Source organism: Homo sapiens, chromosome 13 (genome assembly GCF_000001405.40).
Source record: "Homo sapiens chromosome 13, GRCh38.p14 Primary Assembly".
Lineage (NCBI taxonomy): Eukaryota > Metazoa > Chordata > Mammalia > Primates > Hominidae > Homo > Homo sapiens.
The window spans coordinates 32,320,082-32,342,545 of NC_000013.11; the positions used below are offsets into that span (position 1 = coordinate 32,320,082).

The 22,464-nt window shown below is 36.6% G+C and overlaps 1 protein-coding gene across 7 annotated transcripts in view; it reads left to right on the forward strand.

The window, feature by feature from the left end:
• The window catches only part of BRCA2 (BRCA2 DNA repair associated), an 85,192-nt gene that overhangs the window by 5,005 nt on the left and 57,723 nt on the right, over positions 1–22,464 (forward strand). For 5 of the 7 annotated variants that reach the window (NR_176251.1, NM_001432077.1, NM_000059.4 and 2 more), the window contains exons 4-11: positions 4,995–5,103; positions 6,020–6,069; positions 6,161–6,201; positions 6,418–6,532; positions 9,362–9,411; positions 10,838–10,949; positions 12,191–13,306; positions 16,184–21,115. Coding sequence is in view for 6 of the 7 variants with exons in the window: in NM_001432077.1 (NP_001419006.1) it covers positions 4,995–5,103; positions 6,020–6,069; positions 6,161–6,201; positions 6,418–6,532; positions 9,362–9,411; positions 10,838–10,949; positions 12,191–13,306; positions 16,184–21,115 (6,525 nt within the window). In the remaining variant the exon portion in view is untranslated. The remainder of the gene's footprint in view (positions 1–4,994; positions 5,104–6,019; positions 6,070–6,160; positions 6,202–6,417; positions 6,533–9,361; positions 9,412–10,837; positions 10,950–12,190; positions 13,307–16,183; positions 21,116–22,464) is intronic. The other 2 variants (NM_001406721.1, NM_001406722.1) reach the window with 2 other exon arrangements.

Here is a 22,464-nt window from a genome sequence, read left to right on the forward strand (position 1 = left end):
AATATGTAGTGTGTTCAGGAAATAGCAAGTAATTCAGGTTGGCTTTGGTTGTTTTGTGTCTGAAAGGGACCAATAGACAAGGCAAAAAGGCAGACTAAAGGCAGGCATTGAATGCCAAGCTAAAGAAATTGAATTTGTTTGGTTGGTTGGTGAGCAGAGAAATCACATGCAAATTTCATCATGCTACTTATTGTGTCAAACCTTAGATCACCTCCCTTTGTCCTTATAGCAAAATCTAAACTTGATATGGCTTTCAAGTTCCTTTGTGATCAGGCCCCTGATTTACACTCTTGGCTCAGCTTGCCATATTCATCCTCTCACCTATCTTCATTTGCCATTCATTCCTACTGAATTTCTTTTCGTTACCAAAACCACAATGCTCTCTGGCTCTTTATTAAACATATTGTTACCTCTACCCACAACCTACTTTTTCCCTACTTTTTGTCTAGCTAATTTGCGTGCTCGTCTTTCAGATCTTGGCTTATTTCTGCTTCTGAGAAATACTTCCTGTCTGCCCTCGTTGAGCTTCTAGTGAAGGAGACATACATAAGCAATTATAGTGTGATACATGCTTTGAAAGAAATTCATGGCTATAGGGAGTGCATATACAAAGGGAATATAGGTAATGGGCAAATATTTACATGTATGTTATTGGATACCAAATGGTATACATAGGATTCAGTAAATATTTGTAGAGTGAGTATTAGTATTATTTGCTTTAGAAAGCCTAATGATCAAACAGCAGTCTTTGGAGATAACGTTTTTCAAAATGTCATGTCTGTGCCATTAGAATCTTCTAGACTGCTCATTGAAAGGACAGATTCCAGGCCCCACTCTGAATCTCTTAATTTATAATTTTTGGAAATGATGCCCATGAGTCTACATTTTAAACTACCTGAATGATCCCTATAGAAAGAGAAAACTGGAGGTAGGAAGATCAGTTAGGGGATGTGTAATGGTCTAGGTGATAGAGACAAGTGCCTGAATTACAGTAATAACAGTGAAAGTAAATATGGAACATAAAACTATAGGACCTTGCAGTAGTCTAGATATGGAGGATTCAAAAAAAGGAACAAATGACAGGGCAAAGCATATGCAGAACACAGTAGTAACAGTCATAGAAATGGATAAGGGAGTCATCCATTCTGCAAATACTTAGTGCTTACTTGTGTCTGGCAACCTGCTCGGCATTAAGGATACAAATATGAATAAGATGTCCTTTGACCTCTAAGTACTCAGTCTCGTAAGCACGTCTTGTAAGCACATCTTGGTTGCTTCCATAAAAATAAATACACTAGTGTGATATGTTATAAGAGCATGTACCAAGTGCATGAAAAGTGAGCAGCCATCTCTGGTTGGTCAGAAAAAGCTCCATAAAGCAGTTTTTGCTGAATCTTGAAAGATATACCTAAGGTCAAATGGTTAATTCTTTAATCATAACCTGCTAGAATTGATCTATAACCAAGGAAGGATAGTAAGGAATTAATAAGGCCACTCTCAACTCACTGCAAAGGAGTTAACTTTTTGAAGGCTGTAATACATAAATCTGCTGACTAGTCTCTTGAGACCTTTTGCTTTTACGTTTACTTTAGATTCAGTATTGAAAAGTAAGAGTAATGGACTTAAGCTGTGTTTTTCAACCTGTTTTGTTCAGTTCTAACATGTAATATTTTTTAAAAAATTATTCCTAAAGTTCTATGAGGAATTGTGCTGTTTCTGCCTCTCAGCAGTCCTTCCTTTTGCATTAAATCATAGGCATTTCTGTTACCATTCTTCAGCTTATTAATGAGATCCTCAGGTTATTTGGGAAATGTTTATTTGGTAATTAACTCTTTTTCACCTAGTTCATTTTTTTAACTTTTTTTTTTAAATAGCCGAGTTTCTTTTCATTGCTGAACTAAAATGGATGTGTTATTATTAGCTGAACTCCTTAGTTTACTTTAGAGTTCACCCTTTGTATGGTTCTATGGATTTTGACAAATTGTATAATGTCGTATATCTGCCATTATGGCATTATACAGAATAATTTTGCTGCCCTAAAAATCTCCCGAGTTCCACCTGCTCACCCATCCCTCCTCCTGAGCCCCTGGCAGCCACTGATCTTTTTACTGTCTGTATAGTTTTGCCTTTTCCAGAATGTCATGTAGTTGGAATCATACAGAATATAGCATTTTCAGACTGGCTTCTTTCACTTAGCAATATGCCGAGACCAGCTCGATTGTAGAGACCCTAACCCAGCGGCACTAGAGGAATTAAAGGCACACAGAAATATAGCGGTGTGGAGTGGGAAATCAGGGGTCTCACAGCCTTTTGACAGCAAGCCAGTGATAAGCATTGTTTCTATAGATTATAGATTAACTGAAAGTATTCCTTAGGGGAAATAAAGGGCTGGGCCGAAGTAAAGGGATGGGTCTGGCTAGTTATCTGCAGCAGGAGAATGTCCTTAAGGCACAGGTCGCTCATGATAGTTTGTGGTTTAAGAACGCCTTTAAGCGGTTTTCTGCCCCGGGTGGGCCAGGTGTTCCTTGCCCTCATTCCGGTAAACCCACAAGCTTCCAGCGTGGGTGTCATGGCCATCACGAACATGTCACAGTGCTGCAGAGATTTTGTTTATGGCCAGTTTTGGGGCCAGTTCCCAACAGCAATATGTGTTTAAGGTTCTTCCATGTCTTTTAATGATTTCATGCTGAATAATATTCCATCGTATTGATGTACCACAGCTTGTTTATCCATTCATCTATTGAAGGACATCTTGATTGCTTCCAAATTTTGGCAATTATGAATAAAGCTGGTATAAATATTCACATACAGGTTTGTGTGTGAATATATTTTCAACTCATTTTGGTTCACACCAAAGAGCACGATTGTGGGATCATATAGTAAGAGTATGTTTAGTTTTATGAGAAACTACAAGCTTTCTTCCAAAGTAGCTGTTGCATTTTGTATTCCCACCAGCAGTGAATGAGAGTTCTTGTTGCTCACATCCTCACCAGCATTTGGTGTGTCAGTGTTTTGAATTCTAGCCATTCTAACAAGTGTGTAGTGGTACCTCATTGTTTGTTTTATTTAATTTTTTTTTTTTTTTTTTGGAGATGAAATCTCGCTTTGTCGCCCAGGCTGGAGTGCAGTGGCGTGATCTTGGCTCACTGCAAGCTCCGCCTCCCAGGTTCACGCCATTCTCCTGCCTTAGCCTCCTGAGTAGCTGGGACTACAGGCACCCGCCACCACACCTGGCTGATTTTTTTGTATTTTTAGTAGAGACGGGGTTTCACTGTGTTAGCCAGGATGGTCTTGATCTCCTGACCTCGTGATCCGCTCGCCTCGGCCTCCCAAAGTGCTGGGATTACAGGCGTGAGCCATCATGCCCGGCCTGTTTTATTTTTTAAAGTCAATTTTCTTTCAAGAATTAGCTACTTTTTAGTATCTTTAATTAAAAATCTCATTAGAGAAGGAGGTTGGATATTTTGTTGAAGTGGGGTTTTTAAGTTACACATCCATTTGCTTTATTAGTGATTATGTCTAGTCCATGTTAACTTGAAAAATGAGACTATAATGAGACATTTTATTTAGGCTGCTACAAACAGTTTTAAATTTGGTCTTCACTTTATTTTAGTAACATTGATAGAGCTTATTTTTCCCAAAAGCTAAGTTAGAGATTATAGGACCAACCGAAGCAACTATTTTCTAAGAGTAATAATAAGTGACTCAGGTGCCAAATTTGTAGTTACCATCAACTATTGGAACCATATGAGTACTTAATGCCCTGGAGAGTCAAATATAATCTACTCTAATACAGAAAATAGAAATATTGAAAAACTGTAAATTGGATTTCATATTGTTAAAGCCACCTATAGCTTTAGAAACTCTGAACATTATTTTCTTAGAAAATGGATGTGTTCAATAAGAATAGAAATTATGTATTACTGTCTGCAACTCACTTTGTCTAATTATATCCAATTTATTCATCCAGTCAATATTTCAGGAGTGACTAATATACCAGACATTTTTGTAGTTGCTAGGGATACAGTGACAAATAAGACAAAATCTCTACCTCAGATTGCTCACAGCCTAGTAGGGGGAAAAAGAACAGTGTATGATCAAACTCTTCAGGGAACACATAGGGGGGCAAACACTTAATCTTACCTTAGGGATCACTACAGTTTTCTGGAGGAGGTAGTTTCTAAATGGAAGCCTGAAAGAGTTGTTCCAGGTCAAGAAAAGCAAAGAAGGGGAAACAGCTTGTACAAAGTCCTAGAGGTTAAAGAAAACATTCTTTCAGGATATGCAAATGGTTGGGTATGGGTAAAAAGTAGACTGTAAAAGAATGGCATCATAAAAATTAAGTAAATTGTCACATAAATATATATATTTCTTATGTACCCACAAAAATTAAAAATGAAGAAATTAAGTAAATTGTGAAAGGCCTTCATACTATGGAGTTTGACTTGATCTTGAAAAGTAAGATCTTGAAAGGTTTTTAGCACAAGTGATATTGTCAGATCTGGTACATTGGTAGGTTTTCAGTAAATGTCTTCCCTTACTCCTTTTTTCTCTTTCCTTCTGCTTTTGTTTAAAGCGACAAGATGTTGCTCTTTTCCCAGGCTGGAATACAGTGGCATGATCATAGCTCAAGCTCCTGGGCTCAAGTGATCCTCCCGCCTCAGCCTCTCAAGTAGCTAGGACTACAGGCATATCACCACACCAGCGTTTTCTTTGTAGAGGCAGAGTCTCACTCTGTTGCTCAGGCAGGTGTTGAACTCCTGCCTCAAGCAATCCTCCCACCTCAGCCTCCCAGAGCCCTCAAATTATAAGCCACTGTGCTCGGGGCATCCTTTTTGGGGGGTAATCAGCAAACTGAAAAACCTCTTCTTACAACTCCCTATACATTCTCATTCCCAGTATAGAGGAGACTTTTTGTTTTTAAACACTTCCAAAGAATGCAAATTTATAATCCAGAGTATATACATTCTCACTGAATTATTGTACTGTTTCAGGAAGGAATGTTCCCAATAGTAGACATAAAAGTCTTCGCACAGTGAAAACTAAAATGGATCAAGCAGATGATGTTTCCTGTCCACTTCTAAATTCTTGTCTTAGTGAAAGGTATGATGAAGCTATTATATTAAAATATTTAAATGAAACATTTTCCTACATATATTTGTTCTATAAAGATGAATCTGATTTTTATGCTAATATTTTGGCTAAGAGCCTGGTAGAAGATCTTACATTTTTAAATAATCTTTTAGGTTGAGTCCTTTAATAGAATAGTTTTTACATTAGAAACATGTAAGTTGTTGTTCTTGTGATGTTGAATTGGCTGGTTTTCTGTATATTCTGTGATTTTTTAAGTAACAAAAATAACAGTGGTGAAAAGCAGTAAGTCAGTCCTTGAATTATCAATTTAAAATAAATTGTGTACTTTTCATCTTTGGAGAGAATATGATTTACTTTACAAATTTTTTTTTTGTTTTTTTTTTTTTTGAGATGGAGTCTCTGTCACCCAGGCTGTAGTGCAGTGGTGCGATCTCAGCTCACTGCAAGCTCCGCCTCCCGGGTTCACGCCATTCTCCTGCCTCAGCCTCCCAAGTAGCTGGGACTACAGGCGCCCGCCACCATGCCCGGCTAATTTTTTGTATTTTTAGTAGAGACGGGGTTTCACCGTGTTAGCTAGGATGGTCTCGATTTCCTGACCTCGTGATCCGCCCGCCTCAGCCTCCCAGACTGCTGGGATTACAGGCGTGAACCACTGTGCCCGGCCTACTTTACAAAATTTTTGAGTTTAAAATACACGGTTTCCAGCAGCTGAAATTTGTGAGTACATATGTGTTGGCATTTTAAACATCACTTGATGATTATTTAATGCTTCATGAGAGATTTACTTTTTAAAATGTAATATAAAATATCTAAAAGTAGTATTCCAACAATTTATATGAATGAGAATCTTCTTTTAAAAATAAGATAAACTAGTTTTTGCCAGTTTTTTAAAATAACCTAAGGGATTTGCTTTGTTTTATTTTAGTCCTGTTGTTCTACAATGTACACATGTAACACCACAAAGAGATAAGTCAGGTATGATTAAAAACAATGCTTTTTATTCTTAGAATACTAGAAATGTTAATAAAAATAAAACTTAACAATTTTCCCCTTTTTTTACCCCCAGTGGTATGTGGGAGTTTGTTTCATACACCAAAGTTTGTGAAGGTAAATATTCTACCTGGTTTATTTTTATGACTTAGTAATTGAGAATTTGACAATAGCGTTATACCTTTGCCCTGAGATTTACAAATCTGTACCTAGCATTCTGCCTCATACAGGCAATTCAGTAAACGTTAAGTGAAATAAAGAGTGAATGAAAAAATAATATCCTTAATGATCAGGGCATTTCTATAAAAAATAAACTATTTTCTTTCCTCCCAGGGTCGTCAGACACCAAAACATATTTCTGAAAGTCTAGGAGCTGAGGTGGATCCTGATATGTCTTGGTCAAGTTCTTTAGCTACACCACCCACCCTTAGTTCTACTGTGCTCATAGGTAATAATAGCAAATGTGTATTTACAAGAAAGAGCAGATGAGGTTGATAATTGTCATCTCTAATACTTCTGTTAAAAGGAAATATGAAAAGAAAATATTAGATAATGTCTTTGATAAGTGTGTTAGTAACTGACAATAATTTTATTCTATTAAGTGTAGATTGGAATAAATACAAATACATTTAGTGGTAGTCCAGTGGTGTCAAGCATTATGTTTTAGTACGATGTGATTAACGTAGAATAGCTTACAAATATTCCTTTACTGGCCTATATAAGCGTTTAAGAGGCAGTATTTGGTGTGACTGAATTCTTTTTACAAATGATTGTGGTAATTGGGGCATTAAAGCAGCATTAAATAAGCTTTTGTTTTCTCTACTTAAATGTGTTCTAAGGTCTGTATTGCCAGTAGTACTGAATTGAGGTCTTAAATTCCACAAGTGTAATTACACAACTATGTGATAAACTGCAATATTTATCCATTCATTAAACTGTAAACTCTTTGCAGTCTCACCACAGTTTCTCTTACTAGGATCTAGAAATATTTCCTATTGTAGGCTGGTTGCAGTGGCTCACGCCTGTAATCCCAACACTTTGGGAGGCTGAGAAGGGTGGATCACGTGAGGCCAGGAGTTTGAGAGCAGCCTGTACAACGTGGTGAAACCCTGTCTCTACTAAAAATAAAAAAATTGGCCAGGTGTGGTAACACACACCTGTAATCCCAGCTACCTGGGGGCTGAGGCATGGGAATTGCTTGAACCTGGGAGGCAGAGGGTGCAGTGAGCCGAGATTGTGCCACTGCACTCCAGCCTGGGTGACAGGGAGGCTGAGGTGGGAGGATCACGAGGTCAGGAGATCGAGACCATCCTGGCTAACGTGGTGAAACCCTGTCTCTATTAAAATAGAAAAAATTAGCTGGGCGTGGTGGCAGACACCTGTAGTCCCAGCTACTCAGGAGGCTGAGGCAGGAGAATGGCATGAACCCGGGAGGCGGATCTTGTAGTGATCTGAGATCATCACGCCACTGCACTCCAGCCTGGGCAACAGAGCAAGACTCTGTCTCAAAAAAAAAAAAAAATCCTGTTATAAAACTACTTAAAAATCTCTGAGTAGCTGAGATTTGGCTAATCATGACTTAGTATTTGAAAAGTTGTGACTATTTTTTTTTTTTTTAATTGAGACAAGGTTCTTCTCTGTTGCCCAGGCTGGAGTGCAGTGGCACCGTCGCAGTTCACTGCAGCCTCAACCTCCCAGGCTCAATTAATCTTTCTTCCTCTTAGCCTTCCAAGTATCTGGGACTACAGGTACCATGCCACCAGTATACTACCAGTCCTGGCTAATTTTTTTTGTATTTTTTGTAGAGATGGGTCCCGCCATGTTGCCCACACTTGTCTCAAATTCCTGAGCTCAAGCAGCCACCACACCCACCTGTGACCATTCTTTTTTATTTTTATGAGATAATAAACATACAAGTTTAAAGAAATGTCTGTACATAAATGTGATTATAGTACAAACAAGTATTTGGAAGTTCATCTAAACAAATGCATCACAGTTTATAGGCAAAACATGAAAGATTGGATAATAATGGGAAAAAAAGTAAATATTCACCAACATTCTTTCTCTTTTTTCTTTTTCGTTTTTTTTTTTTTTGAGGCGGAGTCTTGCCCTTTTGCCCAGGCTGGAGTACAGTGGCACCATCTCGGCTCACAGCAACCTCTGCCTTCTGGGTTCAGGCGATTCTCCTGCCTTAGACTCCCGAGTAGCTGGGATTACAGGCACCCACCACCACGCCTGACTAATTTTTGTATTTTTAGTGGAGAGGAGGTTTCACTGGGTTGGCCAGGGTGGTCTTGAACTCCTGACCTCAAGTGATTCGTTTGTCTCAGCCACATTTTTTTTGTCTAAGAAGATACTGGGCCAGATCATTGTTTCTCAAATTGCAGATTATGACCTGTTCATAGTTGTGAAACTTATTTTGTGAGTCGTATATGCTCTTTTTAAATGAAATGAAAATTCTGAGTACATCACATGTAGTTAGGGTTTAGAAAATAAAAAATACAATATATCTAGTTAAATTTGGACTTCAGGTAAACAGCGAATAATTTTGAGATATACTTAACACTAAAAAATTATTCATTGTTTATCTGAAATTCAAATTTAATGAGGTGTCCTGTATTTTATCCAGAAGTCCTACACACAGTAAAGTTTGTTTTGTAAAACTTTTTTACTTAACCTTTGTGTGCCCATGTGTGTGTGCAGTCATAAAGTGTGTGTGTGTGTGTGTATTTAAAAAACTAGGTTGTACTCAAAGCCTGAGCTTAATTTATTCCCAAACCAGTATTACATTTTGTTTATTCTAGCAAAATAGCATTCTGTTTTGATTCCTCTTTAGCTGGGAGTAAGTTAACCCTATTCTGTTGCTTAGATGAAATAATATGGATAAAATCATTTTGAAAATATGTATTTAATATATAGTATGCCTTTAGGCTGTAGTGTTGTCTAAATGAATGCTAAAGTCTCCAAGCTTTAGCTTTTAAGTCATAACCTCACAGCATCATCTGACTTTCCAACTCATTGTGGACAGTATTACCATAAAGTAATGATCACCAAGCCATATCTTACCACCTTGTGAGTAGTACTAAGGAAGTAAGTATAGTTTATTCACTGTGTTGATTGACCTTTCTAATTACTATACTTAAGTACTTGAATCAATTCATTTTGTTTCAAATGTGTCATGTAATCAAATAGTAGATGTGCTTTTTGATGTCTGACAAAAAATAAGTTTTTGCATTCTAGTGATAATATACAATACACATAAATTTTTATCTTACAGTCAGAAATGAAGAAGCATCTGAAACTGTATTTCCTCATGATACTACTGCTGTAAGTAAATATGACATTGATTAGACTGTTGAAATTGCTAACAATTTTGGAATGCCTTGTTAAATTATTTATCTTACATTTTTAATTTCCTAATCTGTAATTTATCTAAGCCTTTGAGAAAGTCTCTAAACCTGGTCCTATATGTGATTTTAACTTCCTGTGAAACTCTGCTGTCTCTCTGTTAAAGTTGCATATATACAATATATACCGTAGTCCCCTATTCATGGGGTATACATTCCAATATCCCCCAGTGAATGCTTGAAACCTTAGATAGTACCGAACCCTATATATATATATTAAAAATGTGTAGTATTTATATATATATACCTATAATCTTTTTTTCTATAAGCACATACCCTGTGATAAAGTTTAATTCATAAATTAGGCACAGTAAGAGATTAACAAGAACTAATAATAAAATAGGACAATTATAACAAAATACCGTAATAAAAGTTATGTGAATGTTGTCTCTCTGTCTCAAAATATCTTATTGTTCTGTACTCATGTGGCAGCAGCTTCATCAGCAGATGTGGCCTCTCCAGTAATTTTTATATTTTTCAGTCCAAACCTATTCTTGAATCTGTGTAACCAACCATCCCTTACTTGCAGTAAATGGCTTGGTGTCATTCATTTCAGGGGATCCCTTACTGAAGTTTTCGTTTAGGCTCTATGCTTTCTGGCGTAATATGTAGCTGTCAATCAAAACAACCTGTTCATGTTTTCTACCCACAAATGTAATACCTTTTCTACTTCTATGGTGCACTGTGTGGCCACAACATTTGCAGTTTGAGGTGTGACAGCAAAACCAGCTCATATGTCTTTCTCCTTCACAATCTCACAGATAGATTTGTTCTTACCATAGATGTCGCAGTACAATTTTTTTCCTTTCCTTAAGTCGAGAACTTTCACTGTTTCAATTAAAGGAAGCACTTTATGGCTTCTTTTTGGCATATTTGAATTGCCAGCATCATTATACTTGTGCTTTGGGGCCATTGTTAAGTAAAATAAGGGTGACTTGAACACAAGCACTGTGGTACCACAATAGCCGATCTGATAACCAAGACAACTACTAAGTGACTAATAGGTGGGTACCATATACAGCCTGGATACGCTGGACAAAGGGATGATTCATGTCCCAAGTGGGATGGAGCAAGATGGTGCAAGTTTTTTTTTCTCCATTTCCATTTTCCTTTCCTAAGATTTCCACATCCTAGTGGTGCAAGATTTCATCACACTACTCAGGATGACACACAATTTAAAACTTACTAATTGCTTACTTCTGGAATTTTCCATTAAAAATTTTTGGACCTAGGTTGATTGCAGATAACTGAAATCACCAAAAGTGAAACCATGGATAAGGGGGGACTACTACTATATGTGCATTGAGAGTTTTTATACTAGTGATTTTAAACTATAATTTTTGCAGAATGTGAAAAGCTATTTTTCCAATCATGATGAAAGTCTGAAGAAAAATGATAGATTTATCGCTTCTGTGACAGACAGTGAAAACACAAATCAAAGAGAAGCTGCAAGTCATGGTAAGTCCTCTGTTTAGTTGAACTACAGGTTTTTTTGTTGTTGTTGTTTTGATTTTTTTTTTTTGAGGTGGAGTCTTGCTCTGTCACCCGTGATCTCGGTTTACCGCAACCTCTGCCTCCCGTGCTCAAGCGATCCTGCCTCAGCTTGCCAAGTAGCTGAGATTACAAGCATGCACCACCATGCCCAACTATTGTATTTTTAGTAGAGATGGCATTTCACCATGTTGGCCAGGCTGGTCTCAAATGGTCGTGAGCCACCATGCCCAGCCTGAACTACTCTTTTTAATTGGCACCATTGAAGGATTGCTCCTCTTTTCTTAAAGAGAAAATATATTACCTTTCCTTTCTTGACTACTGAAGTAGTATTTTATCTCAAAGTATTGAGAGTAGAAACTAACTTGGTGTGCCTGTGATCCCAGCTACTCAGGAGGCTGAGGTGGGAGGATCGCTTAAGCCCAGGCGGTCAAGGTTGCAGTGAGCTGTGTGTGTGCCACTGCACTCCCACCTGGGCAACAGAGTGAGACCGTGTCTCAATGGAAAAAAAGAGAAACTAATTTGATTTCGATGACAGTATTTAAATACTGTGTAAGACAGTACTATTTAATATGTGGTTGTGACACAAAAACAAAGCCTATTGAAAATTTTCAGAGACAATAAGATATATAATTAACAAAATCTGAGCTTTTTTTTTTTCTAATTAGAAAGTAAATGTGGTTTAGATATACCATAGTTTACCTAATCAGGTCATGGAATATTGCATTTTTCTTAGTATGTGTGTATGTCTGTATAACTGTGTAGGATTTGATATCTGTTTTTGTCTGTGTGGTATCATGTACGTATGTATATGCATATGTAAAATCAGATTTACCCTTGTTATAGGGCCACAGAATTGATTTGGAACATCTGTTTTGATAGGTCTTAGAATATTTAATTGTATATATAGTAAGATTAGGTGAGTTTTAATTGTGTAGAACTGCTAAAGAAAGGTTTTTAGGGATTGTTGTATGAATAAAAGGCTTTAGGTTCATTGGAATCAGGGGAATCAGGCTTTACTAGAAGAACAGGAGAAGGGGTGACTGACCGAAAAATAAAATGCCAAGTACTCAGAATAACCCTTTAAATACTGATATGTAATATTTAGCACATTCTACATAAACTGTTTCTATGAGAAAGGTTGTGAGAATAATATAAATTATATGGCTTATAAAATATTAATGTGCTTCTGTTTTATACTTTAACAGGATTTGGAAAAACATCAGGGAATTCATTTAAAGTAAATAGCTGCAAAGACCACATTGGAAAGTCAATGCCAAATGTCCTAGAAGATGAAGTATATGAAACAGTTGTAGATACCTCTGAAGAAGATAGTTTTTCATTATGTTTTTCTAAATGTAGAACAAAAAATCTACAAAAAGTAAGAACTAGCAAGACTAGGAAAAAAATTTTCCATGAAGCAAACGCTGATGAATGTGAAAAATCTAAAAACCAAGTGAAAGAAAAATACTCATTTGTATCTGAAGTGGAACCAAATGATACTGATCCATTAGATTCAAATGTAGCAAATCAGAAGCCCTTTGAGAGTGGAAGTGACAAAATCTCCAAGGAAGTTGTACCGTCTTTGGCCTGTGAATGGTCTCAACTAACCCTTTCAGGTCTAAATGGAGCCCAGATGGAGAAAATACCCCTATTGCATATTTCTTCATGTGACCAAAATATTTCAGAAAAAGACCTATTAGACACAGAGAACAAAAGAAAGAAAGATTTTCTTACTTCAGAGAATTCTTTGCCACGTATTTCTAGCCTACCAAAATCAGAGAAGCCATTAAATGAGGAAACAGTGGTAAATAAGAGAGATGAAGAGCAGCATCTTGAATCTCATACAGACTGCATTCTTGCAGTAAAGCAGGCAATATCTGGAACTTCTCCAGTGGCTTCTTCATTTCAGGGTATCAAAAAGTCTATATTCAGAATAAGAGAATCACCTAAAGAGACTTTCAATGCAAGTTTTTCAGGTCATATGACTGATCCAAACTTTAAAAAAGAAACTGAAGCCTCTGAAAGTGGACTGGAAATACATACTGTTTGCTCACAGAAGGAGGACTCCTTATGTCCAAATTTAATTGATAATGGAAGCTGGCCAGCCACCACCACACAGAATTCTGTAGCTTTGAAGAATGCAGGTTTAATATCCACTTTGAAAAAGAAAACAAATAAGTTTATTTATGCTATACATGATGAAACATCTTATAAAGGAAAAAAAATACCGAAAGACCAAAAATCAGAACTAATTAACTGTTCAGCCCAGTTTGAAGCAAATGCTTTTGAAGCACCACTTACATTTGCAAATGCTGATTCAGGTACCTCTGTCTTTTTTTTTTTGTAAATAGTACATATAGTTTTATAGATGACGATTCCTTCTGTGTTTTTTTCTGCTTTTTAAAATCTTCATATCTTATATTTAATCTTAGGCATCATCTGTATACATGATTGTTTAGGTCTTTAATTACCAGTGTTTAGAATCAGGTCACTCAAACATGGTAGATAAGTTTGCATAGTTTGTGTATATCCATCACTCTTGAGACAGTTTTATTTTAAGTTCCGGGGTACATGTGCAGGATGTGCAGGTTTGTTACATAAGTAAACGTATGCCATGTTGGTTTGCTGCACCTGTCAACCCTTCACCTGAGTATTAAGCCCAGCATGCATTAGCTATTTTTCCTGGTGCTCTCCTTCCCCCCACACACCCCCACCTCCTGACAGACCCTAGTGTGTGTTGTTCCCCTCCCTGTGTCCGTGTGTTCTCATTGTTCAGCTCCCACTTATGAGTGAGAACATGTGATGTTTAGTTTTCTGTTCCTGCATTAGTTTGCTTAGGATAATGGCTTCCAGCTCCATCTGTGTCCCTGCAAAGGACGTGATCTTGTTCCTTTTTATGGCTACATGGTATTCCATGGTGTATAGTTCCACATTTTATTTATCCAGTCTATCATTGATGGGCATTTGGGTTGATTCCATGTCTGTGCTATTGTGAATAGTGCTGCAGTGAATGTACAGGTGGATGTATCTTTATAATACAATGATTTATCTTCCTTTGGGTATATACCCCGTAATGGGATTGCTGAGTCAGATGGTATTTTTGGTTCTAGGTCTTTGAGGAATTGCCACACTGTCTTCCACAACGGTTGAACTAATTTACATTCCAGCCAACAACTTGAGACAGTTTTTGACTCATAAACATTCAGAGCTTGGCTAGCTAATTCCTGCTTTAATTTAAAAAGTGTTTATTATATGCAAATTGGACAACTCATATAAATATGTGGTGCTACTTACTATGTATTTTCTCTAAAGCATGTTAAAAAAATAGGCTAGATATAGTGGCTCATGCCTGTAATCTTAGCACTTTGGGAGGCTAAGGCAGGAGGATCACTTATGGTCAGGAGTTTAAGAACACCCTGGGCAACATAGCGAGACCCCATCTCTACAAAAAATTTAAAATACCCAGGCATGGTGGCATGCTTCTGATGTTGTAGCTACTCAGGATGCTCAGACAGGAGGATCACTTGAGCCCAAGTGACTGAGGCTGCAGTGAACCAAAATTGTACCAGTGCACTCCAGCCTGGGCCACAAAATGAGACCTTGTCCCTGAAAAAAAAAAAAGAAAAAAAAAATTTAAATAGAGGAAATACTAGCTAAGTTTAATGTAGGCCAGTTCTAAAATAATGATTTATTGCTGCTGTTGTTACATAATTTTCTTAAATATTTTAAAGATTGCATACTGTTACTGCTCTATTTCTGCATCTCCGTGGTGTAACTCTGTCCTCTTTGTTGTTGCAACAGTTCACTTAGCAACTAAACTGTATGTTTACAAAGTGATTTTATCTCCCTATGAGAAGACTTTAGTGAATAGCTCAGTGAATAGTAGAGTTGGTGAGACCACAGTACAGAACTGTTTGAAGTTTGGGTTAAATTTTTAGAGGAAAATGTTTGATACTATGCATATCATAGTTAAAGCCAATGAAAAAGCTAATATAGGCCAGGCGCAGTGGCTCACGCCTATAATCCCAGCACTTTGGGAGGCCAAGGCAGGCAGATCACTTAAGGTCAAGAGTTCAAGACCAGCCTGGCCAACATGGTAAAACCCCATCTCTATGAAAAAAAACAAAAATTATCCAGATGTGGTGGCATGTGCCTGTAATCCCAGCTACTCGGGACGCTAAGGCAGGAGAATCACTTGAACCTGGGAGATGGAGGTTGCAATGAGCTGAGATCACGCCACTGCACTCCAGCCTGGGTGACAGAACGAGACTCCATCTCAAAAAAAAAAAAAAAAAAAGCTAATACATGTGATCACTGATGAAATGCAATTAAGAACTGGTTAGTAGAAAATTCAGAGGGTCAAGAAATTTAACAGAGCAGTTGAACTCATTTGCCTTTATCGTTGAGATTAGATCATCTTTCAGGCTGTTAGTATATGGACCCTGTTTTTAAAAATTGTGGTTTTGTTTTTTTCAATGTGAAAGAATTAAGAAAATTGTTACTTTTCTAATTCCTTTTCTGTGCCTTGCTTTTCTGTTCACACCAGTATTAACAGCAATGAAATTTTTTCAATTTTATTTTCCAATAAAAATTACTTTGAGTTTTTTTTATGGTAGCTAGCTACTTCCTTGACCTAGATACTAATTTTGATTGAGTTGGTAACTATTATTAAAAAAACAACTTAGGTCTAATTTATCTTGAGCTAAAAAATGTAATAACTGAAAAATAGAGCATATTTAGGATTCTTTCTGCTTTAAATTTGACATTCAGTTATTTTCATGTAATTTGTGTTTTGAGCACTACCTTTTAATTAATTTATTTATTTTTATTTTTTAGAGACTGTCTCATTCTGTTACCTAGTCTGGAGTGCACTAGTGTGATCTCAGCTCACCGTAGCCTCACCCTCCTGGGCTCAAGCAGTCCTTGCACCTCACCCTCCTGAGTAACTGGCACCACAGGCATACACCACCACACCCAGCTAATTTTTATTTTTCATAGAGTCATGGTCTCACTATGTTGCCCAGGCTAGTCTCGAACTCCTGGGCTCAAGCAGTCTTCCTGCCTCAGCCTCCCAAAAGTGCTGAGATTACAGGCATGAGCCACTGTGCCCAAACACTACCTTTTTAACTTAGTGAAAAATATTTAGTGAATGTGATTGATGGTACTTTAATTTTGTCACTTTGTGTTTTTATGTTTAGGTTTATTGCATTCTTCTGTGAAAAGAAGCTGTTCACAGAATGATTCTGAAGAACCAACTTTGTCCTTAACTAGCTCTTTTGGGACAATTCTGAGGAAATGTTCTAGAAATGAAACATGTTCTAATAATACAGTAATCTCTCAGGATCTTGATTATAAAGAAGCAAAATGTAATAAGGAAAAACTACAGTTATTTATTACCCCAGAAGCTGATTCTCTGTCATGCCTGCAGGAAGGACAGTGTGAAAATGATCCAAAAAGCAAAAAAGTTTCAGATATAAAAGAAGAGGTCTTGGCTGCAGCATGTCACCCAGTACAACATTCAAAAGTGGAATACAGTGATACTGACTTTCAATCCCAGAAAAGTCTTTTATATGATCATGAAAATGCCAGCACTCTTATTTTAACTCCTACTTCCAAGGATGTTCTGTCAAACCTAGTCATGATTTCTAGAGGCAAAGAATCATACAAAATGTCAGACAAGCTCAAAGGTAACAATTATGAATCTGATGTTGAATTAACCAAAAATATTCCCATGGAAAAGAATCAAGATGTATGTGCTTTAAATGAAAATTATAAAAACGTTGAGCTGTTGCCACCTGAAAAATACATGAGAGTAGCATCACCTTCAAGAAAGGTACAATTCAACCAAAACACAAATCTAAGAGTAATCCAAAAAAATCAAGAAGAAACTACTTCAATTTCAAAAATAACTGTCAATCCAGACTCTGAAGAACTTTTCTCAGACAATGAGAATAATTTTGTCTTCCAAGTAGCTAATGAAAGGAATAATCTTGCTTTAGGAAATACTAAGGAACTTCATGAAACAGACTTGACTTGTGTAAACGAACCCATTTTCAAGAACTCTACCATGGTTTTATATGGAGACACAGGTGATAAACAAGCAACCCAAGTGTCAATTAAAAAAGATTTGGTTTATGTTCTTGCAGAGGAGAACAAAAATAGTGTAAAGCAGCATATAAAAATGACTCTAGGTCAAGATTTAAAATCGGACATCTCCTTGAATATAGATAAAATACCAGAAAAAAATAATGATTACATGAACAAATGGGCAGGACTCTTAGGTCCAATTTCAAATCACAGTTTTGGAGGTAGCTTCAGAACAGCTTCAAATAAGGAAATCAAGCTCTCTGAACATAACATTAAGAAGAGCAAAATGTTCTTCAAAGATATTGAAGAACAATATCCTACTAGTTTAGCTTGTGTTGAAATTGTAAATACCTTGGCATTAGATAATCAAAAGAAACTGAGCAAGCCTCAGTCAATTAATACTGTATCTGCACATTTACAGAGTAGTGTAGTTGTTTCTGATTGTAAAAATAGTCATATAACCCCTCAGATGTTATTTTCCAAGCAGGATTTTAATTCAAACCATAATTTAACACCTAGCCAAAAGGCAGAAATTACAGAACTTTCTACTATATTAGAAGAATCAGGAAGTCAGTTTGAATTTACTCAGTTTAGAAAACCAAGCTACATATTGCAGAAGAGTACATTTGAAGTGCCTGAAAACCAGATGACTATCTTAAAGACCACTTCTGAGGAATGCAGAGATGCTGATCTTCATGTCATAATGAATGCCCCATCGATTGGTCAGGTAGACAGCAGCAAGCAATTTGAAGGTACAGTTGAAATTAAACGGAAGTTTGCTGGCCTGTTGAAAAATGACTGTAACAAAAGTGCTTCTGGTTATTTAACAGATGAAAATGAAGTGGGGTTTAGGGGCTTTTATTCTGCTCATGGCACAAAACTGAATGTTTCTACTGAAGCTCTGCAAAAAGCTGTGAAACTGTTTAGTGATATTGAGAATATTAGTGAGGAAACTTCTGCAGAGGTACATCCAATAAGTTTATCTTCAAGTAAATGTCATGATTCTGTTGTTTCAATGTTTAAGATAGAAAATCATAATGATAAAACTGTAAGTGAAAAAAATAATAAATGCCAACTGATATTACAAAATAATATTGAAATGACTACTGGCACTTTTGTTGAAGAAATTACTGAAAATTACAAGAGAAATACTGAAAATGAAGATAACAAATATACTGCTGCCAGTAGAAATTCTCATAACTTAGAATTTGATGGCAGTGATTCAAGTAAAAATGATACTGTTTGTATTCATAAAGATGAAACGGACTTGCTATTTACTGATCAGCACAACATATGTCTTAAATTATCTGGCCAGTTTATGAAGGAGGGAAACACTCAGATTAAAGAAGATTTGTCAGATTTAACTTTTTTGGAAGTTGCGAAAGCTCAAGAAGCATGTCATGGTAATACTTCAAATAAAGAACAGTTAACTGCTACTAAAACGGAGCAAAATATAAAAGATTTTGAGACTTCTGATACATTTTTTCAGACTGCAAGTGGGAAAAATATTAGTGTCGCCAAAGAGTCATTTAATAAAATTGTAAATTTCTTTGATCAGAAACCAGAAGAATTGCATAACTTTTCCTTAAATTCTGAATTACATTCTGACATAAGAAAGAACAAAATGGACATTCTAAGTTATGAGGAAACAGACATAGTTAAACACAAAATACTGAAAGAAAGTGTCCCAGTTGGTACTGGAAATCAACTAGTGACCTTCCAGGGACAACCCGAACGTGATGAAAAGATCAAAGAACCTACTCTATTGGGTTTTCATACAGCTAGCGGGAAAAAAGTTAAAATTGCAAAGGAATCTTTGGACAAAGTGAAAAACCTTTTTGATGAAAAAGAGCAAGGTACTAGTGAAATCACCAGTTTTAGCCATCAATGGGCAAAGACCCTAAAGTACAGAGAGGCCTGTAAAGACCTTGAATTAGCATGTGAGACCATTGAGATCACAGCTGCCCCAAAGTGTAAAGAAATGCAGAATTCTCTCAATAATGATAAAAACCTTGTTTCTATTGAGACTGTGGTGCCACCTAAGCTCTTAAGTGATAATTTATGTAGACAAACTGAAAATCTCAAAACATCAAAAAGTATCTTTTTGAAAGTTAAAGTACATGAAAATGTAGAAAAAGAAACAGCAAAAAGTCCTGCAACTTGTTACACAAATCAGTCCCCTTATTCAGTCATTGAAAATTCAGCCTTAGCTTTTTACACAAGTTGTAGTAGAAAAACTTCTGTGAGTCAGACTTCATTACTTGAAGCAAAAAAATGGCTTAGAGAAGGAATATTTGATGGTCAACCAGAAAGAATAAATACTGCAGATTATGTAGGAAATTATTTGTATGAAAATAATTCAAACAGTACTATAGCTGAAAATGACAAAAATCATCTCTCCGAAAAACAAGATACTTATTTAAGTAACAGTAGCATGTCTAACAGCTATTCCTACCATTCTGATGAGGTATATAATGATTCAGGATATCTCTCAAAAAATAAACTTGATTCTGGTATTGAGCCAGTATTGAAGAATGTTGAAGATCAAAAAAACACTAGTTTTTCCAAAGTAATATCCAATGTAAAAGATGCAAATGCATACCCACAAACTGTAAATGAAGATATTTGCGTTGAGGAACTTGTGACTAGCTCTTCACCCTGCAAAAATAAAAATGCAGCCATTAAATTGTCCATATCTAATAGTAATAATTTTGAGGTAGGGCCACCTGCATTTAGGATAGCCAGTGGTAAAATCGTTTGTGTTTCACATGAAACAATTAAAAAAGTGAAAGACATATTTACAGACAGTTTCAGTAAAGTAATTAAGGAAAACAACGAGAATAAATCAAAAATTTGCCAAACGAAAATTATGGCAGGTTGTTACGAGGCATTGGATGATTCAGAGGATATTCTTCATAACTCTCTAGATAATGATGAATGTAGCACGCATTCACATAAGGTTTTTGCTGACATTCAGAGTGAAGAAATTTTACAACATAACCAAAATATGTCTGGATTGGAGAAAGTTTCTAAAATATCACCTTGTGATGTTAGTTTGGAAACTTCAGATATATGTAAATGTAGTATAGGGAAGCTTCATAAGTCAGTCTCATCTGCAAATACTTGTGGGATTTTTAGCACAGCAAGTGGAAAATCTGTCCAGGTATCAGATGCTTCATTACAAAACGCAAGACAAGTGTTTTCTGAAATAGAAGATAGTACCAAGCAAGTCTTTTCCAAAGTATTGTTTAAAAGTAACGAACATTCAGACCAGCTCACAAGAGAAGAAAATACTGCTATACGTACTCCAGAACATTTAATATCCCAAAAAGGCTTTTCATATAATGTGGTAAATTCATCTGCTTTCTCTGGATTTAGTACAGCAAGTGGAAAGCAAGTTTCCATTTTAGAAAGTTCCTTACACAAAGTTAAGGGAGTGTTAGAGGAATTTGATTTAATCAGAACTGAGCATAGTCTTCACTATTCACCTACGTCTAGACAAAATGTATCAAAAATACTTCCTCGTGTTGATAAGAGAAACCCAGAGCACTGTGTAAACTCAGAAATGGAAAAAACCTGCAGTAAAGAATTTAAATTATCAAATAACTTAAATGTTGAAGGTGGTTCTTCAGAAAATAATCACTCTATTAAAGTTTCTCCATATCTCTCTCAATTTCAACAAGACAAACAACAGTTGGTATTAGGAACCAAAGTGTCACTTGTTGAGAACATTCATGTTTTGGGAAAAGAACAGGCTTCACCTAAAAACGTAAAAATGGAAATTGGTAAAACTGAAACTTTTTCTGATGTTCCTGTGAAAACAAATATAGAAGTTTGTTCTACTTACTCCAAAGATTCAGAAAACTACTTTGAAACAGAAGCAGTAGAAATTGCTAAAGCTTTTATGGAAGATGATGAACTGACAGATTCTAAACTGCCAAGTCATGCCACACATTCTCTTTTTACATGTCCCGAAAATGAGGAAATGGTTTTGTCAAATTCAAGAATTGGAAAAAGAAGAGGAGAGCCCCTTATCTTAGTGGGTAAGTGTTCATTTTTACCTTTCGTGTTGCCAATCACTATTTTTAAAGTGTTTATTCAGTAGACTTGGTATGCTAACAATTAAGAGTGTTATAAACTATGTCTTTTCAGCCATTTTTGTGTAGTCAGTTTGGGGGAGTATGGTTTGATATACAGATACACAGATTCAGTATTCGTATACAGATTTGATATCTTGGTATACAGATTCGATATCTCTGAATCTGTATACCAAGAAATCATGTTTTAAGGGTCTCAATATATTTTCAAAAAGATTATTAGTATAATAATTGAGAAATTACTGTTAAAAAGTTTTGAGTTTCTCTAGAAAATTTGAAACTCTTAACAAAACCTGCATAATACTAACTTAACTGTTTTCATATACATAGCAAGTTCAGACTCTGACTTATATGAACTTTAAAAGTTGGTTTCCGGGAGGCCGAGGCGGGCGGATCACGAGGTCAGGAGATCGAGACCATCCCGGCTAAAACGGTGAAACCCCGTCTCTACTAAAAAAATACAAAAAATTAGCCGGGCGTAGTGGCGGGCGCCTGTAGTCCCAGCTACTTGGGAGGCTGAGGCAGGAGAATGGCGTGAACCTGGGAGGCGGAGCTTGCAGTGAGCCGAGATCCCGCCACTGCACTCCAGCCTGGGCGACAGAGCGAGACTCCGTCTCAAAAAAAAAAAAAAAGTTGGTTTCCGATTATACCATTTACTGGGTAATATATACTACTTAGTTACACTACTTACATAGCTTCAGTTTCCTTATCTATAAAATGCAAATAACACCTCCCATGAGGGCTGGGCGTGGCGCTCATGCCTGTAATCCCAGCACTTTGGGAGGCCGAGGTGGGTGGATCACCTGAGGTCAGGAGTTTGAGACCAGCCTGACCAACATGGTGAAACCCCATCTTTACTAAAAATACAAAAAATTAGCCAAGCGTGGTGGCGCGCACCTATAATCCCAACTACTCCAGAAGCTGAGGCAGGAGAATCACCTGAACCTGGGAGGTGGAGGGTGCAGTGAGCTGACATCACACCACTGCTCTCCAGCCTGGGCAACAGAGCGAGACTGTCTCAAAAAAAAAAAAAAAAAAGTGTATTTAAAGCACTTAGCAGTGAACTTGACATATAGTAGGCAGAGAGCATTCAGTAAGTGTTGGCTTGCTCCCTTTTTTTCATTTAGGAAGTGATCTAAAAACAGTATTGTTAGTAAATGGTATCTTGATCTTAATGTTATGTGGACTATTTTAACTTCCCTTTTAAATGTATATATATCTAACAACTTAGTTCAACTACAGTCATGTGTCATTTGACAGGGATATATGTTCTGAGAAATAGATTGTTAGATTTC